This window comes from Homo sapiens, chromosome X (assembly GCF_000001405.40).
Source record: "Homo sapiens chromosome X, GRCh38.p14 Primary Assembly".
NCBI classification, from domain to species: domain Eukaryota; kingdom Metazoa; phylum Chordata; class Mammalia; order Primates; family Hominidae; genus Homo; species Homo sapiens.
Genome location: NC_000023.11, coordinates 107,420,722 through 107,446,237, shown reverse-complemented (window position 1 = coordinate 107,446,237; position 25,516 = coordinate 107,420,722). Strand labels below are relative to the sequence as shown.

General features: G+C 41.9%; 1 pseudogene, besides 2 other annotated features; it reads right to left on the bottom strand.

Annotated features, from left to right (window-relative positions):
* Positions 2,430-2,929: an enhancer, noted in NCBI's record as "H3K4me1 hESC enhancer chrX:106686539-106687038 (GRCh37/hg19 assembly coordinates)". NCBI's record gives its function as "activates a minimal SCP1, AML or CMV promoter by ChIP-STARR-seq in naive H9 embryonic stem cells {active_cell/tissue: H9 hESC(naive)}" and the evidence as "EXISTENCE:reporter gene assay evidence [ECO:0000049][PMID:30033119]".
* Positions 2,930-3,431: an enhancer, noted in NCBI's record as "H3K4me1 hESC enhancer chrX:106686037-106686538 (GRCh37/hg19 assembly coordinates)". NCBI's record gives its function as "activates a minimal SCP1, AML or CMV promoter by ChIP-STARR-seq in naive H9 embryonic stem cells {active_cell/tissue: H9 hESC(naive)}" and the evidence as "EXISTENCE:reporter gene assay evidence [ECO:0000049][PMID:30033119]".
* On the bottom strand, positions 16,718-17,611 carry KRT18P49 (keratin 18 pseudogene 49; annotated as a pseudogene).

Sequence of the window (25,516 nt, the reverse complement as noted above, 5' to 3'; positions counted from 1 at the left end):
GAAGCCAAGACTCATGTAGCAGTAAGTAGTGGAACCTGGATTCCAACCACATGATAATTCATAATAATAATTATTATTGCTTTTATTTATCACTTTATGGGCCAGGCACTGTGATGGCATTTTACATGCGTTATCAAATTTAATTCTCACAATAAACCCAAGAGGGTAGGCTCACAGAGGCTGCTAAGTAATTTCCATAAGGTCACACAACTAGTAGAACCTAATCTAGGATTTGAACCCATGCTTGTTTGACTGCAGAGTGATAGTATTTCCAAAAAGGCCATGACTCCAAGACTTCAGCTGAGATTACACAGAGAGACAGGTTACTAGCCTTTCTCCCAGACACATTACTAAACTGCCTGCCTCTGCTGGGGCAGCCCGCCCACTCATTAGCACCCAGGAAAGATAAATGCCTGAAGGGCAGGGTGTCATCAATGGCTGGAGTATGAACTGCATCTGCCTAAGGCAGCAAGGGGACTCTGCAGGTTGCTAAGCTGGCCCTGGGATGATAGAAAGGGGATGATATCATCAGAAAGGTCAAGGAGGGAACCCACTTTATAATTTTGCAACCTCCAACCCTTTAATTTCCATCTTGCCTTTCAGCAAGACACCCAGTCACCCCAAAGCATCTAGGGCCAACCAGGGCTCTGGTGTTTGGTATATGGTGGGTGAAGGAAAAGGGAGAGAAGCCTCCTGAGCTACTGAGCTACTGGGGAAACTGGGAGCTAGCAGGAACGCTGGGTGACAGAGAATCCCTGTGGAAAATGTGGAAGAAAAGGACCATTTCAAAAGATTTGTCACTAGGAGAAGGAAGGACAAAAGGCTGGGAAATTATGCTAAGAGGGCTTTTAAGTGGCCCTTTGTGTGCTAGCTGAGCCTGCCTACCTGGTTTGGGCTGGAAGACACTGAAGGGCCAGGCATGGAACAACCCTGGGCTGATGAGCTGCAAAGTGCCAGCCAACCCCTTCGCGAAGCTGGCTGGCAGGCACCCTCTCCCCTCAAATGCAGCTGCTGAGCAGGGCTCACTGCCTGCCAGGTTTGTGTGTCTCAGCTAGCTCCCTGCTTCCCTGTCAAAATTCATCCCTTCCCAGACCCTCAAACTTGCTGGAAAAGTGCCCAGTCATGGGAGGGGGATCCTTGGGTCAAAACTGGGGTTCATACTACCATGGTGCCCCAGTGACAAGAATGAGGTCACTCAATTCCTGGCTCCTCTCTGGGGACTGGGGTCATGCAGCCACTACTTACATTAATAAAGCCCAGGTCTCTTTAAAACAGCCCAGGGAAGCTGGCTGTTTTGATTCCTAGCCTTCCTTGCTTCTGCCCATTTCACTTACTTAAGTATTGGGTTGACAAGATTTCCTTCCAGCATGCAGAGATGCACCTCCCTTCAATAAGCCCTTTGATTCCTAGATCTTCTCTGAGTGCCCTTCCTTGGACAGCACCTCAGGCTTTGGGTGTTTTCTGAAAGCAATTTCTGCCCCCCATCAAAATTTATCCATCCCTAGTCTTAGTCTTAGATAATCTGATAAATGAATCTATACTAAGGTAAACACAGATGGTAATTGGCAATACTTCTCAACCTTTAAAATGAACACACACACACACACACACACAGAGAGAGAGAGAGAGAGAGAGAGAGAGAGAGAGAGAGAGAGAGAGAATCCCTAAACATAGAATAAAGTGAGAATCTGGAAGTGAAAGCCATCGTGGCCAAAAGCATAAAATTTTTTTGAAGCTCACATTTTATTTTGAAAACACGAGAACTTTCACATTTTACTCTGTAGTATACTTGTGTTTGATTTACCATGAAAGTACCGCATGTCTCTAAAATCCTTGCATGAATTGAAGCTCGAAAAAGATGCACTGTGTTGATCTTGTGGCTCTATGTACCTCCTAGAAGGTAGAGAGACCCCCATTTGAGAAGTGCTGAATGAATGCCCAGAACCTGTTTGTCTTTTGGCCCACTATCTCTATTGAAGACAGAAGTGAGCAGAATGAATGACTAGAATCGTTTGGAGTGCTGGGGTGTGGGGGCATGGTGGGTGAGCCTGTCTTCTTCTCAGGCTCCATTTCCCCCCACAGGAATTACAGCAGAGCCAGCCACACCCCTAGATCATAGAAGGTGCATGCAGCCACATACTTGGTGTGATACCAGCCTTCCCCTTACTCAAATTCACCTGCCCTCCAGCTGTGTTTGCCGGAAATTCTCCTTTGGGTTAAAGCCCAATCTCCAGAAGGTCCCGGTAAATTGCACATGTTATCTGGAATGGACAGCACATTAAGTCATTAGCACCCATTAATGCACTCGCCTGAATAAATCTATCAGATTGCCTGTCACCTCTCACAGGAGGGTAGAGCGGTAAAGGAATGAAATACTGACCAGGGACGTTTTCCTGGGATGCCGTGGGGTGAGGTGGGAGAGCTTGAGTGCAACATTTCCCCACCTATGGGCCTTGACCCAGCTGCATCAGAATCCTGGGGATCTGGGAATTCTTTCTACCTGGGGAGCTGTAGAAAGGCTGATTCCTGGGCCCCACCCTAGAGCCCAGGACTCTATTTTTTTTAACAAGCCCCTTGGGTCTAGGTTGCATCTGCAACGAAGCACAGCTGAAGCAGGCCTGAGAAGAGGAATGCTACTCCAGAGGGCATGGGGTCCAGTACTAAGAGGACTTTGTGGGGGCAATCCACCTCAATTCTGACCCTGTTCTGGAGCTTCCTTTTTTCTTTCTTCCTCTTCTTTTGTTGCTTCTTTTTTATTTTTATTTTTTGTCTTTCTCTAGAGAGCTTCCAAGGTGCTGCCTTCTCCTTGCCCACCTCCATTGTGCAGAGGGAGCCCCACAGAGGGAAGGCCTGTGGCTCTGGAAGGCCTTGGAGTGGAAACTGAGTTGACAGACTCCAGGGAATCGCCCATGGCTTCCTTGAATGCCTTCCTGCTGTCCCCCCTGCTGGCATCTTAGGCATGTTTGCCCTCCTGGAGTTAGGAAGCAAAATACCAATTTAAATTGATGCTGACAGAGCCTGTCAGATGCCAAGTGCTTGCTGCGGTTGCCACCAGTACAGCTATTCCTCATGAGGGAGTTCAGGCGTGTGCTTGGGACAGTGCTGCCAGGAGCCAGCCTCCTCCCCCTCCTCACCTGTCTGGGTGGGGCTGAGGATGGGGGGATATTTGCAGAAGAAAAACTGGATGGACAGGAAATGTAGCTAGGCTGGAGAGCAGAGGACTAGGTGCCTCTGATAGGCTCTCAATCCTGGGTAGGGCACTGTGTGATCATGGACACTTTACTTAACTTAACCTCTCTGCACTAAGGTCCCCCTGGGAAAAAAGAACATGAAGGAGAATTGAATGCCTGCCTATTGCTTTTTACCGGGATGCAGACTTAAAGAAGGATGCTCCTGGAGCTTTTGGAGAAAAACAAACAAACAAACAAAAATTACCATGTAGAGACAAATGTCCCTTGAAAGACTGAGGAAGAAAGGGTGTTAAAAATCCATCCAAAGGCCCTGGGGGTCGCCACCAATTTGATAAATGAATTTTTGCTAATGTGCTAGTGAATGGTAATGGACCAATGAGTTAACCTCTGAACAGTTTACATTTTGTCCAAACCTATCTCAATATCTCTCTCTAAAGGCATGATTGGTAGTGGGGATGTTTGACTTGGAGGCAGAAAGCTGAGGAGTTTGAGGGTATGGTGGCCTTTCCTGGTTCACCAAGATAATCCCTTATAGGTACACCAAGTTTTACAGTTTAATTTGATCTTCACAATAACACTGAGAGGTAGGGCAGCTATAATTCCCATTTTATAGATAAGGAAGTTGAGGCTTAGATTGACTAAATGACTGTTCAAAAATCCCACAGGTAAGAAGCAACTGATTTTTTGATCAAGTGCTCTTCACTCTTTTCCATGCCTACTCCACCTGAGCAGAGTAAGGGGCTCAGAAATACCAGGCCTGGAAGAGATCAGCTGGCTTCTCCCGTTCTCTTTTTCTGTCTGTCATCAATTTCTCTTTTCTTCATTCTGTCTTTCCTAGACCCCATCTTCTGTTTCTCTGGCTGCCTTTCACCAGACAGGGAAGAAAAAAAAATCAGCTTTGAAAGGAAAAACAGGTGTGGTTTTATATGTCTCGGTGGGCTAAAGCAATAAATTCCAGAAAGGCCTGACAAGAATATTCTCACCACTGGACTGTCAGTAACTTCCTGTGTTTGACCTGGAATCAATTGATTAACCTTTCTGTCTGCAAGTTCTCATCTTTTCAACCTGCATAAACTTTGCCAGGCTCATGGCAGGGTTGGTGAGAGGGAAAGAGAGGGAGAGGAGAGCGGGTGGGAGATAGGGATGGCTAATGAATAACAAGAGCAGAAAAGCACTTTGCAACCATTCCTAAGTGCTGCATCGATATTTAATGTCATTCTTTGCCTCAAAAGCCATGGTTCAGAAATGGGAAGCATTCGTTAAGGCACTGCAGGCAGGTCCCTGGTTATCCAAGAAGCCTCCCATTTAGGGGGAATGCCTAATTATAGTGTCTTCTTTTCCTTATCTCTTTCTCTTGTTCATTAAGACCCAAGGACCTTTGCTCAGGAAATCAGATCTTGATTTCAGAAGATTTCAACTGCTTCCACAAATTGAATTTCCCACCTGGAGTCAAATTCTCTATTTATAACAAAGATATCATCTGCCCAGAAATCTGTCCTTGGTATGGGCCTAAGTTTGCTGAGATGTGCTGCGAATGATGACCAGCTCCTCGGGCTGGGTGGGCTTGAGGGAACTGAGGCTGTGGTCTCAGAGTATGGAGTCCAGACTGCACCTTTTGGAGAGATCATTGGGCCCCAGCCAGCTTTGTCATCTGAGACCTGGCCCCTGTCAGCACTTGGGCACATTTTCAATGGCTACAGCTGCAGGTGTTTTCTTAGTGACTGTAGTCTTAGGCCTGGTCTCCCCACCTCCACTTCCAGTCCACCATGCCTAGACAGATTGATCTTGCCAAAGCACAACTGGTACCATGACATTCTCCTGCTCAGGAGCCTCAGTGACTGCCCAATACCTGCAGCAGAAAATCCACATTCTTCTGCTAGTGTCCATCTCTCACTACTCCCTTCAGAGAACTGCTCACCCCAGCCAGGTATGGCTCCTCCTTCTTCCTTGCCCATACCCTACCTCCTGTATTTTGGTCTTACCGTTTCCCAGACCTATGTTGCTTTCCACCCTCTCTGCCTAGCCACATTGTGTCCCTCCCCTTAGGCTCCAGCCCCACCACCTGAGAAGATCCCTTCCTCCTAGGAATACTGAACACTTCTCACTGCACCGGTCATTTGGCACATAGCAGCGAGTGAGTTCCTTGTCACAGCGCTTACTTTCTTGGCTTGGATTGTACTTTGTCCTTTTGTGGGTATAGCCCTGTCTCTCTACCTTTGTGGGCACAGGCCAAGCCTTAGGCCTCTTTTGATCTCCCAGAATGCCTGGCCCAGTGCTGGGCCCATGGTGGGGTGCTCAATGAAGGTACCTGGGCCCTGGCTAACTGCCCCTCCTCCCACAGATCCCCGCAGCTCTGCAGTCTCTGGTGGGTGCTTTGCTTTCAGCCTTCAGGGCCTCCTCCTCCCCATCCCCTTTTCTTGTCCTTCACTGGAAGCTCCTAGCATCACTCAGTAGCTTCTTCCTTTTATTAATCATTTTGATGGTTCTTCCCTGGACCCTCTTCAGTTTCTCTGAAATTAATAAATCTAGAGGCAGCCAAAAAAAAAAAAAAACTGGGAAGTTGAAGAAATTTGTCTTTCATACGACCCTCCCTCTTCTGTTTGCTCAGTGTCTGCTATTGAGGCAGACAGCCCTCATTTTCACTTCCTGTTCCCTGAGAGTAAACTTCACTAAAAACAGGCATGTAAATGTCCTTTTTATAATTTACAAATATATATATAGCCTAGCAAGAAGCTAGGAGTTTCTTAACCCTGCGTAGCCAGAAGCTGGGACAAAATGGTTGTTCTAAGATAGACAGAAATGCGTTTCCTGGGTCTTAAAGGAGTCTGGTGGGAATGTGTCCTTAGGGAAGGAAGAACCTTTCTCTGTTCTGGGAGGGATCACTTTCAGTTACATGTTCACTCATGGGCCTTGATGGCCCATTAAGGTATTCAAGTACAACTACTTCAGCCTGGCCTGGAAAATTTTCTCTTTAATCGGAAGATGGGGATGTTCTAGCTGGAGGAGGGGCTGCATCATTGTTTGGTTGAGGAAAAAGAGCTGATATTTACTGAGCCTTTATCAGGTGCAAGGAAGGGATCATGCCCCACAGGTTACATCAAAGATCTAAACAACTCTATGAAGTGTTTTTATCCTCAATTGTAGATGAGGAAACTGAGGCACAGAGAAGCAAAACTTGCCTAAGGGTCCTACTGGTAAGTGGCAGAGTTGGGATTCAAGCCCAGGTCTCTCTGTTGCCAAAGCCTGTGAATTTCATCACCTCTCTATTCTGCCCTGACAAAACTGCCTTTGCAGAGCAAGTATATAAACAAGGGCTACCCTTTGACTACCTTCTCTATGCCCTCAAGGCATGTTTTCAACCTACTACCTGCAGCTTATCTCTTCATCATAGTCTTAACAACTACAATATGCCCCACACCCTGCTCAAATCGCCTTTACTTATCTAGTACAGAAGCATTACAGGCCAATGGATGACAGCACAGAATCTGGAGCCAGACTACCTTAGTTCAAATCTAGACTCTGACATATAGCTTTGTGACACTGGGCAAGTTGCTTAATCGCTCTGTGCCTCAGTTTCCTCATCTACAAATTAGGGCTAAAATAATACCTCACAGAATTGCTAAGAGAATTAAATGAAATAGCAGATGTGTTGGGCTTAGCACAATACTTGGTACCTAGTGAGGTCTCAGCAAATGCTCTGTATCATAATTCTCCCATCTTTTGCCCTTTCTTACCTAGGGTTTCCAGAGGCCTTATGCCATCCTTGGATTATCAAGGATTCCTGTTCATGGCATCCTTTTCAGGCTTGTTGCTGTACTGTCCTCCTTTGAATATCAGCCTTCTCACCTCAAACTTCATGCTGAGTCCAACCCCTTCTCCAACTATTAACCCTTAAAAAAAATCCTAACGTCATCAAAATTAAAAACTTTTGTGTATCAAAGGACACTATTCACAGTGAAAAGGCAGCCCATGGAATGGGAGAAAATATTTGCAAATCATATGCCTGATAAAGAATTGATATTCAGAATATATAAAGAACTTTTACAACTCAACAACAAAAAAAGCAACTCAATTAAAAAACGGGGAAGGGATTTTAATAGATATTTCTCCAAAGAAGATATATAAATGGGCAATGAGCACATGAAAAGATGTTCAACATCACTGATCATTAGAGAAATGCAAGTCAAAACCACACAATGTACCACTTCGCACCCATTAAGGTGGCTATTATGAAAAAAACAAAAACAAAAACAAAAACAGAAAATAACAAGTGTTGGCTAGAGTGTGAAGAAATTGGAACCCTCACATATACTGCTGGTGGGAAGGTTAAATGGTACAGCTGTTATGTATATTTTACCAGAAATTTTTTTAAAAAACAATCCTTTAAATTCCTCAACCCTGTGATGCTGTTAGGCACTGAGGAGGAAATAGTAAACAGAACAGACAAGGTTACTGCTCTCAGGGGTCTTGTATTTTAGAGGAGAGGGAGAGACAAACTGTATTCAACAATTGAATGAATATTTTCAGATAGTGATAAGTGCTATGAAGAAAACAGAGCGGTGATGGGGGAAGTTACTTTGGATTAAATAGTCAAGAAATGCTTCTCCGAGGAAGTGACATTGTGACATTGACCTTAATTCTGAATGAAAAGGAGCCAGTCATATGAGGACCTGGGGGAAGGACATTCTAGGTAGAAGGGACAGCTAGTGCAAAGGCCCTGAGGCTTAAACTAGCTTAGTGCAAACCAAGAACCTAAAAAAGTCCAGTGAATGTGGAGATTAGTTTGGAGAAATAGGCAGAGGCCAGATCCTGGAAGTCCTTACATGATGAGGGTTTGGATTCCAATCTAAATCCACAGAAAGCCATTAAGCAAGGGAGCAACATGATCTGAATGACTGCTTTAAATAAATTAATAGCATCTGTGTGGAGGATGAATCCAGGTGAGAGGTGATACTGGCTTAATGATGGCAGCAGTGGAGATAGAGAGAAGTGGATAGATTCTGGATATATTTGGGAGTTTGACAGGCCCTGCTATTGGATTGGATGTAAGAAGTGAGGTGAAAGGATGACACTTAGGTTCTTCCTGAGCAACTGGATACGTGGTGGCACCACTTACTAAAGTTGAGGAAAAAAGTGGGAGGACTAATTTAGAGGGCAGAAGTTACAAGTTTTGTCTTGGCCATGTTAAGTATGAAATGCCTATGAGACCTCCAAGAGGCAATGCCAAGTTAGCCAGTCAGATACCATCATCATCATCACCATCATCATCATCATCATCTATTTATTGATGCTTACTGTGTACCAAATACTGTCCCTAATGCTCTACATATACTCAATCACTTAATTTTCACAATGACCTTGTAAAATCTGGTATTATTACCCTCTCACTTTACAGAAGAGGAAACTGAGGCAAAACAGTCAAACAACTGACATGGTAAGTGATGGAATCAGGATTTGAACTCCAGACCCTGTGCCAGAATGCCATAAGTTTAGAGCTCAAAGGGCAGGTGAAGGCTAGAAATATAAATTTGGGTGTGTTCATCTTATTAATGCTATTTAGAGTTATTGGGCTGAAAGAAATTATCTTGGAAAGGAGTGAGTGAAAAAGAGATTTAGGGTTGAGCCTGAGAGCATCTCAAATATTTGGAGGATGAATAAAGGAAAAAGAGTCAGCAAAGCAGACAGAGAAAGCACAAGGCAGGAGGCAAGCCACGAAAATGTGGTATCATGACAGCCTAAAAAGGAGAGTGTCCCAGGCCATCTGTGTCCAGTGCTCCTGAAAGGGCCTGTAGGCTGAGGACAGAAACATAACCATATTGGTATGACCAATGTTAAATGAAAGGAAGGGTAGTTTACTAATGTTTACATATCAAGACTTACATAATACATGGTTCCTTCCCTTCCCTTTCTTTTTTTCCTTCCTTCCCTCTTTCATTCACCGATTCAAATATACTGAGGTCCACTTCTGTACTAGTATCTCTGAAAGGTGACCAAAAGGTTCAGATCTAGAATCTCACGGTTTCCTACTCAGTATTTGCTTTGGAAGGGATTTCAGAGTCAGTTTCAGGTTGCAAGAGAATTCAGTCACGCCTGACCCCAAAGAAGGATTTTGGTGGGACAAGACAGCCTTAGGGTGTTGCTAATTTGTTGAAGGTAAGGAAATTGGCACCGATTTTCCTCAGCAGCTTGGGCCTCCTTCCTGGGAACACAGCCTCAGGAGCATTGTATTTTCCACTCTGCTGGACATTTCTTCACAGTAAGCCATAAACAACTACTACCAAGCCTTTCTCAATACATGAAGATTTTCCAGGGAACAAACACGCTCTATACATAATTTTTTACAGTGAAGACCCAGAGTCCAGTTTTGTCTTGCTCAAGGATTCCCTGATTCTGGACTCTTAGTTCACTCTGATCTATTCCTGGTCACGATCCAGCTCTTAGAAAAGTATGTTCTGTTTCTAGGAACATCGACCTCTCATCCAGGCTGAACTTTACTTGAGTAATCAGTAGGTCTCCTCTGCCTTCCAGGTCTCACAGAGACCTATCAATACTTTGTTTTGCTCTCCCTTTATCCTTTACTTAGCTCCCACCAAAAATAGGGGGGGTTATCTTTCATCTGCTTGTAGAATGAGGACCAGTTGGCTACATTCAGGGCCAAAGGGACCGGTCCTCAAGACCGGTTATACTGTAGTTACATTTGTGTGCATATACAGTCCCCATCATTTAGCATAGATATGCCCACTGTACTCCAGGCTAGGGCAGAAGGATGGTATTTTAAAAGGAGTCAGCTCACTAAATTCTTGAAGTGAAACTAATTTCAATTATATATACACATATATGTGTATATGCATATTCACACACATATATAACAATACATATGCAAAACTATATATAAAATATATACATAAACGATATATCTATATATGCTCATATATAGACATAGATCTATTTATGTATTTCTACTTACACAGATATACATTTATAGATATAGATAACTTAAAAAAAGATAACTATAGCTCTATTTATAGATCTATGTATAAGAGGAATGGAGAGCTACCCCCCAAGACATACAATGCCTCATAACCTCCTCCTAGAGCCAGCTTTTCTAGTGGACAAGTGATTTGAAATCATCTTTGTATCTCTCTCAGCGTATGGCCTACTACCACATACAAACACACACACACACTAATAGTAGATCCTTACTGGATATATGTTGAATTTATTAGAATTAAATGTTCAGGCTTTGATGTCTGACATTGCTAATATCTATAGGACTAAGTTGTGATTCTAGTTCAATGTGATCTTTACTAAGTTGCTTTATCTTTCTGGATCCAACTTTTGACAATCTGTAAAAAGAGCAAATTAAACTAGATTATTTATAAAAGACCTTTCCAATTCTGATAATCAGTGATTACCTGGGAGAAATGATGAATACTACAGGGTGGGAAGGGTGTATGGGTGAGAAGGGAGGATAAAGAGAGGTAAGTTAACAGGTACAAACATATAGTTAGATAAAAGGTGTAAGTTCTATCATTTGACAGCAGAGTAGAGTGACTGTTGTTAACAACAATGAATTTCATATTTCAAAGTAGCTAGAAGAGAGGATTTGAATTGTTCCCAACACATAGAAATGATAAATATTCAATGTGATGGACACCTCAAATATCCTGGCTTGATCATTACACATTTTATGCATATGACACAGTATCCCACATGACCCATAAATATGTAAAATATGTATCAGAAAATACAAAAATAATTAAAAAATGATTACCTGGGTATGGGACATACAAGAGATGGAAAAGATCAAAAGGAAACCCATTCTTTTTTTTTTTTTTTTTTTGAGACATCTGTCGCCCAGGCTGGAGTGCAGTGGCGCAATCGGCTCACTGCAAGCTCCGCCTCCCGGGTTCACGCCATTCTCCTGCCTCAGCCTCACGAGAAGCTGGGACTACAGGCGCCCGCCACCACACTCGGCTAATTTTTTTGGATTTTTAGTAAAGACGGGGTTTCACCATGTTAGCCAGGATGGTCTCCATCTCCTGACCGCATGATCCACCCGCCTCTGCCTCCCAAAATGCTGGGATTAAAGACGTGAGCCAACGTGCCCAGCCGGAAATCTCTTCTTTTAAGAACATTTAGCACTGAAAGGCTTGCAACGTCTGGAGAAGGATGGGAGAAGTTCGTTGGGGAGAGGAGGAACAAGTATCTGAAACTAGAGAAGCAGGGGTGTGCAAGAGGGAAAGAAAGACTTTTCATTCCAAATAATAGCTAATATTACTGAACCCTAACTAGGTGCCAGGCTCATTACAATCTCATTTAATCCTCACAACAGATCTATGAGTTAAGTACTATTGTCATTCTCATTATAGAGATGAAAAACTGGCACAGAAAGGTAAGTAAACTGCACAAGGGTGCATAGCTGGCAAACAAGAGTTGGGCTGTGAACCCTGGCAGTGTGACCCCAGAGCATGTACCCTTAAGCACTACTCTACTGCCTCCAGAGATCGGAGAGGAAGAATTTATAGAATATGGATTCCATTTGGGTACTTGATGACCAACTCAGGGAAAAGGAAGCCAGGCCAAGTGTAGGAACTTGGAAGAAACCAGTTAGAAGTTAGGAAGAAATGAAGTTAGGCTCTGAATCAATTGCATATACTAACATTGTCCAACTAAGAGACTCCTCACAGCCCACAGTGAAGTAGTTACTGCTGCTCTCGAGATGTGGGAGGGCCAAGGAATCCAGGGAACTGTGTTCTAAGGGCTGAGGCAAACCTGCCCTTGAACCACCAAGAGTAGTAGTGAAGACACTCAAGCTGTCTGCCCGGCAGCAAGCTGTGTGCTGCCACCAGTTTTTTTCAATCACTGTGAAAGCAGGAACACCATGTCCTGCCTTTGTCCTAGGCCCTGAGAAGTGAGCCCAGCACAGGAGGGGCATTTTTCATGCTTTCTACTCCAAGCCCTCCCCACTTAAGAGAAATGGCCTCAGTGTTCATTTCTTCTCTTACAATTCCCCATCTTTCTGTGACCTGGATGAATCTGCCAGTTGACCCAGCAGCTCCTGCCTTTTTTCAGTTTACTTGGAAGTCTCCCGATGAGAGCCAAAGACTGAGCTACATGCTGCGGTAGTTCAAAATGGATCAAACAAACCCCTGTCTTTGAGTTACTCATTCTAGAAAGATTCTGAGTGACTGCAGTTGCCTATTGACAATTCACCCGGCCCCAGGAATCTGGCCACAGAGAGGTTCCAGTACCTGGTAGACAAAGCTGAAAGACAGTTTGTTGTCTTCCTAGAAAGAGGGAGGCACAATTACAGGTGCTAGGTTTCTAGGCCTGCTAAGCAAGGACTTCTCCCTGTGAGCCATCTTGACTCTAACCCACTTCCTCCAGTGGTGGCGTCGTAATTCCTCATTGGCTTTTTTCCATGCTTCCCTCTTTTTGGTTCCCCTCATTGGAAGAATGTTCTCTCACACTTGGACACAGGAAGGGGAACATCACACACTGGGGTCTGTCATGGGGTGGGGGGAGGGGGGAGGGATAGCATTAGGAGAGTTACCTAATGTAAATGACGAGTTAATGGGTGCAGCACACCAACATGGTGCATGTATACATAGGTAATAAACCTGCACATTGTGCACATGCACCCTAGAACTTAAAGTATAATAATAATAATAATAATTTTTTAAAAAAGAAGAATGTTCTCTCCAGGAAGCCCTAGACAGCCCAAGGGGTCCAATGGGGTTGTCTGAACCTTGAAATCTCCCTGTCTATGACTCTTCAGGGATCATGTGTGAGGCTATGGCCAGGAGGGAGTGGCCTCACAGATCACCTTTCCTCATTTAATCAGGAAGCAAACAGGTCTGCCCATACCATTCACCCCAGCATACCCAAGGTTCTTATGGAAGTGGCTCTAGAAGATATGACAGCCCAATTCCTCTGCTCCATGCCCCAGGCTCTCTTGTTCTGACCACAAGATAATCTTCAGCTTTGCTATCAAGCAGTTTCCAGAGACCTCTTCAGAACTGCCCAGGGAGGACCACAAAAATCAGCTGCATCTACTGGACCTGCCTGTACTTGCTGGCAGACACAAGCCCAGGCAGACTGAGAGAAGCCTCTTTAGCTAGTGTGGAAATGCCAACAGCCTATATCTCCCAGGGCTAAGAGGCGCCTTTGCTATTCCCTCTTCCTTTTACTCCCTGCAAAATGCCCACTTGAAGGCACTCTTTAATGTTCTTTTAAAGAGGATTTCAATGCTGGAAGAATAACCTGATTTGCCCCAGCTCATGCCCTCACCAGGGAAGGTTTAGAACACTTTCTGGGGTACTATTCGGCTGTAGTGCCTTTCTCTGCTCATGGCCATCCCTGCTCTTACCGTTTTGGAGGACACTGCCTTTCCATAACAGAACATCTTCTATCTCAACTGCCGGTTGGTCCTAGAAGAAGCTTGGAGAGGCCTTTGTATAAGAAGTTCCCGGAGTGCTATGCATGGTGTGATCCTGGTTCCTGGGCTACATTCTATGCCAGGCACTGGGGACAGAGTGGCGACGAAGACAGACTCTGTTCTTGTCCTTGCGGAGCTTACAGTCTAATGGGAGAAAAAGACATTAACTGAATCATCAGACATATAACTAAAATAATTACAGATTGTGATGAGAACAAGGAAGGATACAAATGATGCTCAAGTAGAGACTGACAGGGGTGAGAGAAGATGACTTTTTTTTTTAATTGAAATGACACATGAACCTGGTTAAAAAAATCAAACGGTACAGAAAAACTTACAATGAAGAGCAAAACCCTTTCTGCCACCCCATCCACCTTCAGACCCACAAAGCTGCCATTTTTAATCTTTCTCTTTTAATTCTTCTGACGATTGACCTCTAGTTCACTAAATAATATGCCTCTGCTCTCTTCCTTGATTTATCAACTTGAGATACTTATCTATTGAATTTCTACTATGATAGATGAGAGGGCAGTACTCAATAACATACCCACTTCCACTCCTTCACACCCCCAATAGAGTTATGGAATATTGTTGTTCTACTACTAATTACTTTTAGAACATTGAATAATGTATCTGAAATCTTATATATTATACCATAAACTATAGATAGCATCTCTTGACTCCCCATTTTTATCAGATGGAGCTATTCAAGTCCATATGCTTCCCTCCACCTCTTCTCCCCTTCTACTTTCATTTTCTGTCAAATGTTTACTTCTACATTGTCAAAGCTGATAGTATTTACATTTTCTTCTATAACTATGAATACATCTCCCATGCTTTGTTTATAGGTAGATTCTAAAAGTTGACAGCCAATAAATCATGTTTACATTATTGTGACTTTGCCAATATAATTCACTACAGAGAGGAATGTATTATGATTTGCATGGGCCCAAGGAACTTTGGCCTTCCTGCACCCTTCCTTCATTAAACAAACTGTATTTTATGACTGCATTAGTATAAAGATAAGTATATTAATATTATGTGCTGAAACATCTTTGACCTAAAAATCCATTTTTACTTCTGACTTTAAAATAAATTAAAACATTTTCACATTCTCAAACTTCATATAATGGAATCATATGTAGGCAACCTTTTGTGCATGACTTCTTTAAATTAGTGTAATTTTTATAATCTTTTGAAATAGCTTTACTGAGGTGTAAATGACCTACAATAAACTGCACGTGTTAAAGGTGTACAATTTGATAAGTTTTGACATATGTTTATCCTTGTGAAACCATCACCACAATCATATCCAACACCTCCAAAAGTTTTCTTCAGGCTCCTTTGCAAATCATTTCTTTATCCCTAGGCAACCACTGACCTGCTTTCTGTCACTATAAATTAGAATCATGCAGTATGTGTACTTCTGCGTCTGACTTCTTTCACACATCATAATATTTATGAAATTCATGTTGTTTCATGTATCATTAGTCAATTCCCTTTTATTGCTGAGTAGTACTCCATGGTATGGATTTACTAAAATTTGTTTATTCACTTTTATTGGGTATTTGGATTGTTTCCATTTTTTGACAATTGTAAATAAAGCTGCTAAGAGGATTTGTGTACAGGGTTTTGTGCAGACATATGTTTTCCATTCTCTCTACGAGTGAAAAAGCTGTATCATATGATTGGTATTAAGTTTAACTTTATGACACTGCCAAAGTACTTTCCAAAGTGGTTGTACCATTTTAGAATCCCACCAACAATGAAACAGAGTTCCAGTTGCTTTACATCCTTGCCAAACTTGGTATTAACATTCCTTTTTATTTCAATTACTAGTGGCTCTCTAAAGGCACACTTTTGCAGTTTTAATTCTCATTTCCTGAATGATGAATTTTATGTGTTTGTGAGCCGTTTTTGTATCCTCATTTGTAAAGTGACTTTTCAAAAAATTTTTTGCCCACTTAAAAATATTGGTTTGTTTCAGTAAGTTTTATTGAGTTTGATTTTTTTCACAGATGGAGTCTCGCTGTGTTGCCCAGGCTGCAACCTCAAGTGATCCTTCTTGGCCTCCTAAAGTGTTGGGATTACAGGCATGAGCCACTGTGCCTGGCCTCTTACTAAGTTTTAATAGCCTCTTTACATATTCTAGATACAAGTTCTTTGTCAGATATGTGATTTGCAAATATTTTCTCCCAATTTGTAGCTTGTCTTTTTATTCTCTTAACAGTATCTCTCACAGAGCAAAAGTTTTACCTTTTAATAAAGTCCAATTTACCAATTTTTCTTTTTTATGGATCAAGCTTTTGGTGGTATATCCAAAAGTTCTTTGCCTAACCCAAGGTCACAAAGATTTTCCCTTACATCTTCTTCTAAAAGTTTTATAGTTTTAGGTTTTGCATTTAGATCTAATATCTATTTTGAATTCACTTTTATATAAGGTATAATATTTAGGTCAATGTTCTTTTTTTAAAACTGTGGATGTTCAACTGTTTCAGCATTATTTGTTGAAAAGATGATGTTTTCTCTGCTGAATTGTTCTTGCATCTTTGTCTTTTTTTTTTTTTTTCAGACAGAGTCTCACTCTGTCACCCAGGCTCTGGAGTGCAGTGGCACCATCTTGGCTCACTGCAGCCTCTGCCTCCCGGGTTCAAGCAATCCTCTTGCCTCAGCCTCCCTATTAGCTGGGATTACAGGTGCCCACCACTATGCCCTGCTAATTTTTGATCTTTAGTAGAGATGGGGTTTCTCCATGTTGGCCAAGCTGGTCTTGAACTCCTGACCTAGGGTGATCTGCCCTCCTCAGCCTCCCAAAGTGCTGGGATTACAGGCATGAGCCACCACACCTGGCCTTTTGTCTCTTTTTTGTACATCTCTTTCTGAACTCTCTTTTCCATCTCATTGATTTATGTGCCTATCTCTTCACTAGTAACACTCAGTATTGATTACTTAACTTTCTATAAATCTTAAAATCATTCAATGTGATTCCTCTAATTTTATTTTTTCCACAAATAATGTCTTGGCTTTTCTAATTCCTTTGCCTTTTCTTTCTTTTTTTCTTTTTCTCTTCTTTCTTTTTTTTCCCCTCTGAACTTTTAATCAGCCTCCTGCTCCCCAAAGAGTACCCTGCTTCTGCTGGCTTAATGTCTGACATCACTTTATGATCCACTATCCGGCAGATGGTGGTCTTTTGAATGGTTTGCATGGAATTGCTGGTGTCCAGGGCATCACCAAGATTGAAGTCCTTGCCATCTTCCAGCAGGTGGCAGTAGGTGGCGATCTTAGCCTCCAGCTTGACCTTGATGTTCAGCAGGGCCTTGTACTCCTGGGCCTGGCACTGTCCCTCTGCCCGGATCTGTGCCAGCTCCGACTCCAGGTGGAGCAGGATCCCGTTGATCTGCTCCATCTGTAGGGCATAGCGGGCCTCCACTTTCCTCAGGCTGCTCTCCAAGCTTGCCTTCAGATTTCTCATTGAGTCCAGGTCAATCTCCAAGGACTGGACTGTATGTCTCAGTTCCGTGAGCGCCATCTCAGCAGCTCCAACCTCGGCGGACTGTGTGGTGACCATTGTGGTGCTCTCCTCAGTCTGCTGAGACCCGTACTTGTCCAGCTCCTCTTGGTTCTCCCGAGCCAGCTAGTCATATTGGGCCTGGATGTCTGCCATGATTTTGGTGAGGTCCTGAGATTTGGGGTATCTACCTCCATGGACAACCCAGAGCTGGCAATCTGGGATTGTAGGCCTTTTACTTCCTCTTCGTGGTTCTTCTTCATGAAGAGCAACTCCTCCTTGAGAGCCTTGACCTCTGCCTCTAGCTGCAGCTGAGTGACATTGGTGTCATCAATGATCTTGTGGAGCCCATGGATGTCGCTCTCCACAGACTGGTGCATGGTCAGCTCTGTCTCATCCTTGACTCTAAAGTCATCTGCTGATGCAAGACAGGCATTGTCGATCTTCAGAACGATGCGGGCATTGTCCACACCTTTGCCTTTTCATATTAATTTTAGAATAAGCTTGTCTATATCTGCAAGAAACCCCTTGGAATTTTGGTAAATATTTATTATTTATCAAATGATGAATATAAATGATAAATATTGCATTAAATCTATAGCCAGTTAGGGATAATTGACATTTTAACCATGTTAAGTCTTCTAATTCATGAATATGGTATGTCTCTCCATTATTTAGGTTTATCTGATTTCTTTTATCAGCATTTCATAGTATTCAGCATATGAACCCTGACATGGTTGGGAATGTGGCTTTGAAAAACACAACTCTACGAGACATTCGGTTGGCTTTTTCAGTTAGAAAACTCATGTTTTCCATTGGCTTTCAGAATTTTATCATATTACTTCTTTGATAATTTTCTCCCTTCTTTCTGGAATTTCTAATAATTGGATGCTAGATGTTGAACTTCCTAATTTTTTCTTCATTATTGCTTTTCCTTTATTTCTTATCTATTTTTCCCCATTGTGAGGGATTTCCTCATCTTTATCTTCCAGTCCTTTGTAGTAGGCAGAATTCTACGATTGCCCCCAAGATTCCTGACTCATGTACATGTCCTGTATAACCCTCTCCTCTTGCGTGTGGGTGAGACCTGTGAATAGGATGGCATGTTACTTTCATGATCAGGTTATATGGCAAAAGTAAAGGAATTTTGCAGGCATCGTTAAGATCTCAAATAAGTTTATTTTTAGTTAATCAAAAGTGATATTATTCTGGGTAGACCTGACTTAATCAGTGAGCTTTTTTTTTTATACTTTAAGTTCTAGGGTACATGTGCACAACGTGCAGGTTTGTTACATAGGTATATATGTGCCATGTTGGTTTGCTGCACCCATTAACTCATCATTTACATTAGGTATTTCTCCTAATGCTATCTTTCCCCCAGCCCCCCACCCCATGACAGGCCCCAGGGTGAGATGTTCCCCGCCCTGGGTCCAAGTGTTCTCATTGTTCAATTCCCACCTATGAGTGAGAACATGCAGTGTTTGGTTTTCTGTCCTTGTGATAGTTTGCCCAGAATGATGGTTTCCAGCTGCATCCATATCCCTGAAAAGGACATGAACTCATCCTTTTTATGGCTGCATAGTATTCCATGGTGTATGTGTGCCACATTTTCTTTATCTAGTCTATCATTGATGGATATTTGGGTTGGTTCCAAGACTTTGCTATTGTGAATAGTGCCACAATAAACATATGCGTGCATGTGTCTTTATAGTAGCATGATTTATAATCCTTTGGGTATATATCCAGTAATGGGATGGATGGGTCAAATGGTATTTCTAGTTCTAGATCCTTGAGGAATCGCCACACTGTCTTCCACAATGGTTGAACTAGTTTACACTCCCACCAACAATGTAAAAGGGTTCCTATTTCTCCATATCCTTTCCAGCATCTGTTTTTTCCTGACTTTTTAATGATCGCCATTCTAACTGGTGTGAGATTGTATCTCATTGTGGTTTTGACTTGCATTTCTCTGATGACCAGTGATGATGATGATGAGCATTTTTTCATGTGTCTTTTGGCTGCATAAATGTCTTCTTTTGAGAAGTGTCTGTTCATATCCTTTGCCCACTTTTCGATAGGGTTGTTTGTTTTTTTTCTTGTAAATTTGTTCAAGTTCTCTGTAGATTCTGGATATTAGCCCTTTGTCAGATGAGTAGATTACAAAAATTTTTTCCCATTCTGTAGGTTGCCTGTTCACTCTGATGGTAGTTTCTTTTGCTGTGCAGAAGCTCTTTAGTTTAATTAGATCCCATTTGTCTATTTTGGCTTTTGTTGCCATTGCTTTTGGTGTTTTAGTCATGAAGTCCTTGCCCATGCCTATGTCTTGAATGGTATTGCCTAGGTTTTCTTCTAGGGTTTTTATGGTTTTGGGTCTAATACTTAAGTCTTTAATCCATCTTGAATTAATTTTTGTATAAGGGGTAAGGAAGGGATCCAGTTTCAGCTTTCTACACATGGCTAACCAGTTTTCCCAGCACCATTTATTAAATAGGGAATCCTTTCTCCATTTCTTGTTTTTGTCAGGTTTGTCAAAGATCAGATGGTTGTAGATGTGTGGTGTTATTTCTGAGGCCTCTGTTTTGTTCCACTGGCCTATATATCTATTTTGGTACCACTACCATGCTGTTTTGGTTACTGTAGCCTTGTAGTATAGTTTGAAGTCAGGTAGCATGATGCCTCTAGCTTTGTTCTTTTTGCTTAGGATTGTCTTGGCAATGCAGGCTCTCTTTTGGTTCCATATGAACTTTAAAGTAGTTTTTTCCAATTCTGTAAAGAAAGTTATTGGTAGATTGATGGGGATGGTATTGAATCTATAAATTACCTTGGGCAGTATGGCCATTTTCACAGTGTTGATTTTTCCTATCCATGAGCATGGAATGTTCTTTCATTTGTTTGTGTCTTCTTTTATTTCACTGAGCAGTGGTTTGTAGTTCTGCTTGAAGAGGTCCTTCACATCCCTTGTAAGTTGGATTCCTAGGTATTTTATTCTCTTTGTAGCAATTGTGAATGGGAGTTTGCTCATGATTTTGCTCTCTGTTTGTCTGTTATTGGTGTATAGGAATGCTTGTGATTTTTGCATATTAATTTTGTATCCTGAGACTTTGCTGAAGTTGCTTATCAGCTTAAGGGGATTTTGGGCTGAGACAATGGGGTTTTCTAAATATATAATCATGTCATCTGCAAACAGGGACAATTTGACTTCCTCTTTTCCTAACTGAATACCTTTTATTTCTTTTTCTTGCCTGATTGCCCTGGCCAGAACTTCCAACACTATGTTGAATAGGAGTGGTGAGAGAGGGCATCCCTGTCTTGTGCCAGGTTTCAAAGGGAATGCTCCCCGTTTTTGCCCATTCAGTATGATATTGGCTGTGTGTTTGTCATAAATAGCTCTTATTATTTTGAGATACGTCCTGTCAATAACTAGTTTATTGAGAGATTTTAGCATGAAGGGCTGTTTAATTTTGTCAAAGGCCTTTTCTACATCTATTGCGATAATCATGTGGTTTTCTTCATTGGTTCTGTTTATGTGATGGATTATGTTTATTGATTTGTGTATGTTGAACCAGCCTTGCATCCCAGGGATGAAGCCCACTTGATCGTGGTGGATAAGCTTTTTGATGGGCTGCTGGATTCGGTTTGCCAGTATTTTATTGAGGATTTCCGCATCAAAGTTCATCAGGGATATTGGTCTAAAATTCTCTTTTTTTGTTGTGTCTCTGCCAGGCTTTGGTCTTAAGATGATGCTGGCCTCATGAAATGAGTTAGGGAGGATTCCCTCTTTTTCTATTGATTGGAATCGTTTCAGAAGGAATGGTGCCAGCTCCTCTTTTTACCTCTGGTAGAATTCGGCTGTGAACCCGTCTGGTCCTGGACTTTTTTTGGTTGGTAGGCTATCAATTATTGCCTCAATTTCAGAGCCCGTTATTGGTCTATTCAGAGATTCAACTTCTTCCTGGTTTAGTCTTGGGAGGGTGTATGTGTCCAGGAATTTATCCATTTCTTCTAGATTTTCTAGTTTATTTGCCTAGAGGTGCCCTTATATTCTCTGATGGTAGTTTGTATTTCTGTGGGATCGGTGGTGATATCCCCTTTGTCATTTTTTATTGCTTCTATTTGGTTCTTCTCTCTTTTCTTCTTTATTAGTCTTGCTAGAGGTCTACCATTTTTGTTGATCTTTTCAAAAAACCAGCTCCTGGATTGGTTGATTTTTTGAAGGGTTTTTATGTCTCTATCTCCTTCGGTTCTGCTCTGATCTTCGTTATTTCTTGCCTTCTGCTAGCTTTTGAATTTGTTTGCTCTTGCTTCTTTAGTTCTTTTAATTGTGATGTTACGGTGTCGATTTTAGATCTTTCCTGCTTTCTCTTGTGGGCATTTAGTGCTATAAATTTCCCTCTACACACTGCTTTAGTTGTGTCCCAGAGATTCTGGTACGTTGTGTCTTTGTTCTCATTGGTTTCAAAGAGCATCTCTATTTCTGCCTTCATTTCATTATTTACCCAGTAGTCATTCAGGAGCAGGTTGTTCAGTTCAGTTTCCATGTAGTGGTGTGGTTTTGAGTGAGTTTCTTAATCCTGAATTCTAATTTGATTACACTGTGGTCTGAGAGACAGTTTGTTGTGATTTCTGTTCTTTTACATTTGCTGAGGAGTGCTTTACTTCCAACTATGTGGTCAATTTTGGAATAAGTGCTATGTGGTGTGGAGAAGAATGTATATTCTGTTGATTTGGGGTGGAGAGTTCTGTAGATATCTGTTAGGTCTGCTTGGTGCAGAGCTGAGTTCAAGTCCTGGATATCCTTGTTAACCTTCTGTCTTGTTGGTCTGTCTAATATTGACAATGGGGTGTTAAAGTCTCCCATTATTATTGTGTGGGAATCTAAGTCTCTTTGTAGGTCTCTAAGGACTTACTTTATGAATCTGGGTGCTCCTTTATTGGGTGCATATATATATTTAGGATAGTTAGCTCTTCTTGTTGAATTGATCCCTTTACCATTGTGTAGTGGCCTTCTTTGTCTCTTTTGATATTTGTTGGTTTAAAGTCTGTTTTATCAGAGACTAGGATTGCAACCCCTGCTTTTTTTTGCTTTCCATTTGCTTGGTAGATCTTCCTCTATCCCTTTATTTTGAGCCTATGTGTGTCTCTGCACATGAGATGGGTCTCCTGAATACAGCACACTGATGGGTCTTGACTCTTTATCCAATTTGCCAGTCTGTGTCTTTTAATTGGGACATTTAGCCCATTTACATTTAAGGTTAATATTGTTATGTGTGAATTTGATCCTGTCATTATGATGTTAGCTGGTTATTTTGCCCGTTAGTTGATGCAGTTTCTTCTTAGCCGCGATGGTCTTTACAATTTGGCATGTTTTTGCAGTGGCTGGTACCGGTTGTTCCTTTCCATGTTTAGTGCTTCCTTCAGGTACTCTTGTAAGTCAGGCCTGGTGGTGATAGAATCTCTCAGCATTTGCTTGTCTGTAAAGGATTTTATTTCTCCTTCACTTATGAAGCTTAGTTTGGCTAGATATGAATTTCTGGGTTGAAAATTCTTTTCTTTAAGAATGTTGAATATTGGCCCCCACTCTCTTCTGGCTTGTAGAGTTTCTGCTGAGAGATCCACTGTTAGTCTGATGGGCTTCCCTTTGTGGGTAACCCGATCTTTCTCTCTGGCTGCCCTTAACATTTTTTCCTTCGTTTCAACCTTGGTGAATCTGACAATTATGTGTCTTGAGGTCGCTATTCTCGAGGAGTATCTTTGTGGTGTTCTCCGTATTTCCTGAATTTGAATGTTGGCCTGCCTTGCCAGGTTGTGGAATTTCTCCTGAATAATATCCTGAAGAGTGTTTTCCAACTTGGTTCCATTCTCCCCGTCACTTTCAGGTACACCAATGAGACGTAGATTTGGTCTTTTCACATAGTCCCATATTTCTTGGAGGCTTTGTTCGTTTCTTTTTACTCTTTTTCTCCAATTTTGTCTTCTCACTTTATTTCATTAATTTGATCTTCAATCACTGATACCCTTTCTTCCACTTGATTGAATTGGCTATTGAAGCTTGTGCATGCGTCACCTAGTTCTCGTGCCATGGTTTTCAGCTCCATCAGGTCATTTAAGGTCTTCTCTACACTGTTTATTCTAGTTAGCCATTCGTCTAATATTTTTTCAAGGTTTTTAGCTTCCTTGCGATGGGTTCGAGCATCCTCCTTTAGCTCAGAGTAGTTTGTTATTACTGACCTTCTGAAGCTTACTTCTGTCAGCTCACCAGTGAGCTTTTCAAAGGGAGTCTAGGAGTCAGAGACAGAACCTGGAGTGACCCTTTCACTGGCCTTGAATAAGAAAACAGTTGTTTTGTGAACTGCCTACAGAGATGGCAACTTTGAGTTGTAAGGGTCTCATTCTTACAACTTTAAGGAATTGAATTCTGCCAACAACCCACATGAGCTTGGAAAACCCTGAGTTCCAGATAAGGACACATCTTAAGGTTATCTTGATTGCAGCCTCGTGAGGCTCTAAGCAGGGAATCCCTGCTATGTTGTGCTTGGACTTCTGGACCTGCAGAAATCATAAGATTAAAAATGTGGGTTGTTTTAAGCCACTAAGCTTATGGTAATTTGTTATGAAGCAATAGAAAACTAATATACCTTTTATGATATTTTATTTTGCCAATCATATATTTTATTTCCAATAGCTCATCATTTAAAAAAATTAAACTGCCCAGGCGCTGTGGCTCATGCCTGTAATCTCAGCACTTTGGGAGGCCGAGGTGCGTGGATTACCTGAGGTCAGGACTTTGAGACCAGCCTGGCCAACATGGCAAAACCCCGTCTCTACTAAAAATACAAAAATTAGCCGGGGAAGGTGGTAGGTGCCTGTAATTCCAGTTACTCAGGAGGCTGAGGCAGGAGAATTGCTTGAACCCGGGAGGCGGAGGTTGCAGTGAGCTGAGATCGCGCCATTGCTCTCCAGCCTGGGTGAAAGGGCAAGACTCTGTCTCAAAAAAAAGAATTAAACTAATTTATTTCAAATAAGTAGTACCTTTGCGTGGTTCAGACATCAAAGCAATGTACAAATGTTTACATTGAAAAGTCTCGCAAAGAGCTCAATTGCATTCTTTGTTCTTATTTTTTATTGCAATCTATTATTGTTTTACAGATGTAATACTGTCTCAAATTTCTCTGTGGATACTACTTGGAATTTTATTTATAGCACCTTTAGTTCCCTAAATCAACTCTGCTCGTTTCATTAAATCTTGTGATTTTTCTTTAAAGTTCCAGTCTTCCCTCACATGTCTAATTGTCTTATATTCTTTTGTTTCCTGTTTATCTTTTAAAATGAAGCTATAGAGAGTCTGATTGGGAGCTGGGCATATGTGAGCAGACCTTGACAATGGGCAGATTTTGCTTAAGGACAATGGGAGGGGATCTGTATATTAATCTTTTGCAGAGGATATGGGGTGGGGTTTAAATACCAAACTACAAAAGGCCTAACTCTGAGTCACTGACATACAACTAGCTGCCCTAATTCTCTCTAGAGACTTTATTCAATATCTGTAGTGAAGAAACTGTTTGGTTTTAGGCTGGCAAGTAAATATTTGTCTTCCAGGTCATCTCCATGTAGGAACTGGGGGTCAATTCTTCTTTATACAGACCTTCGGTTAATCTCCCTGGTGTCAGCCCCAGTCCTCACTCTTATTTCTGTCGTACCTGTAGTCTTGCTAAGGTTTGCAAGGTAGGCGAGCTGTCTCCTTAGCTGCAGCCCTTCCACACAGAGTTTCAACTGATTGTTTGCTCCACTCGACTTCATCAGTTAGCACTGCTCAGATGCTTTCTGACTTCAGAAATTTATTTAAATTTCTCAGCCACTGATGGCCTCCCTCCTGTTCTCTTTGTTGTGGTGGGTTTATGCATTTTAAAATGTCTGTGCTATTATTTTAATGAGGCCTCTGGAGGGACAAGACTTAAATGTTTGTGCTCAGTCTACCATCTTGAACTGGAAAAATGTACAATGGGGATAATAGTGGTGCCTATTACATAGTTTTTTTTTTAGATTAAATGATTTATGCATGTAAATTGCTTAGCACAGTGCCCGGCACATATTTATTTATAAATATTAGTTATTACTATTCCCTGGACAGGGAATCTTTTCCTAATGCTGTTAAAAACTATGCCAGGCAGGTGACCACTGCAGCCAACATCAAGTCAGGCTTGGTGTAAGTCTGAATTTTACTTCCTTTGGCTCCAGAAATGATGCTTCCAAAAACAGCTTTAAATTTGAGCAAAAGCCATGGGGGAGGGTGGTGGGTGGGTAGAGGGAAGAGCTGCATGCCCCAGGGAGGGTAAGCCCTGAACGGAAGCAGTGAAGCAGAACCTGAGCAACAAAATC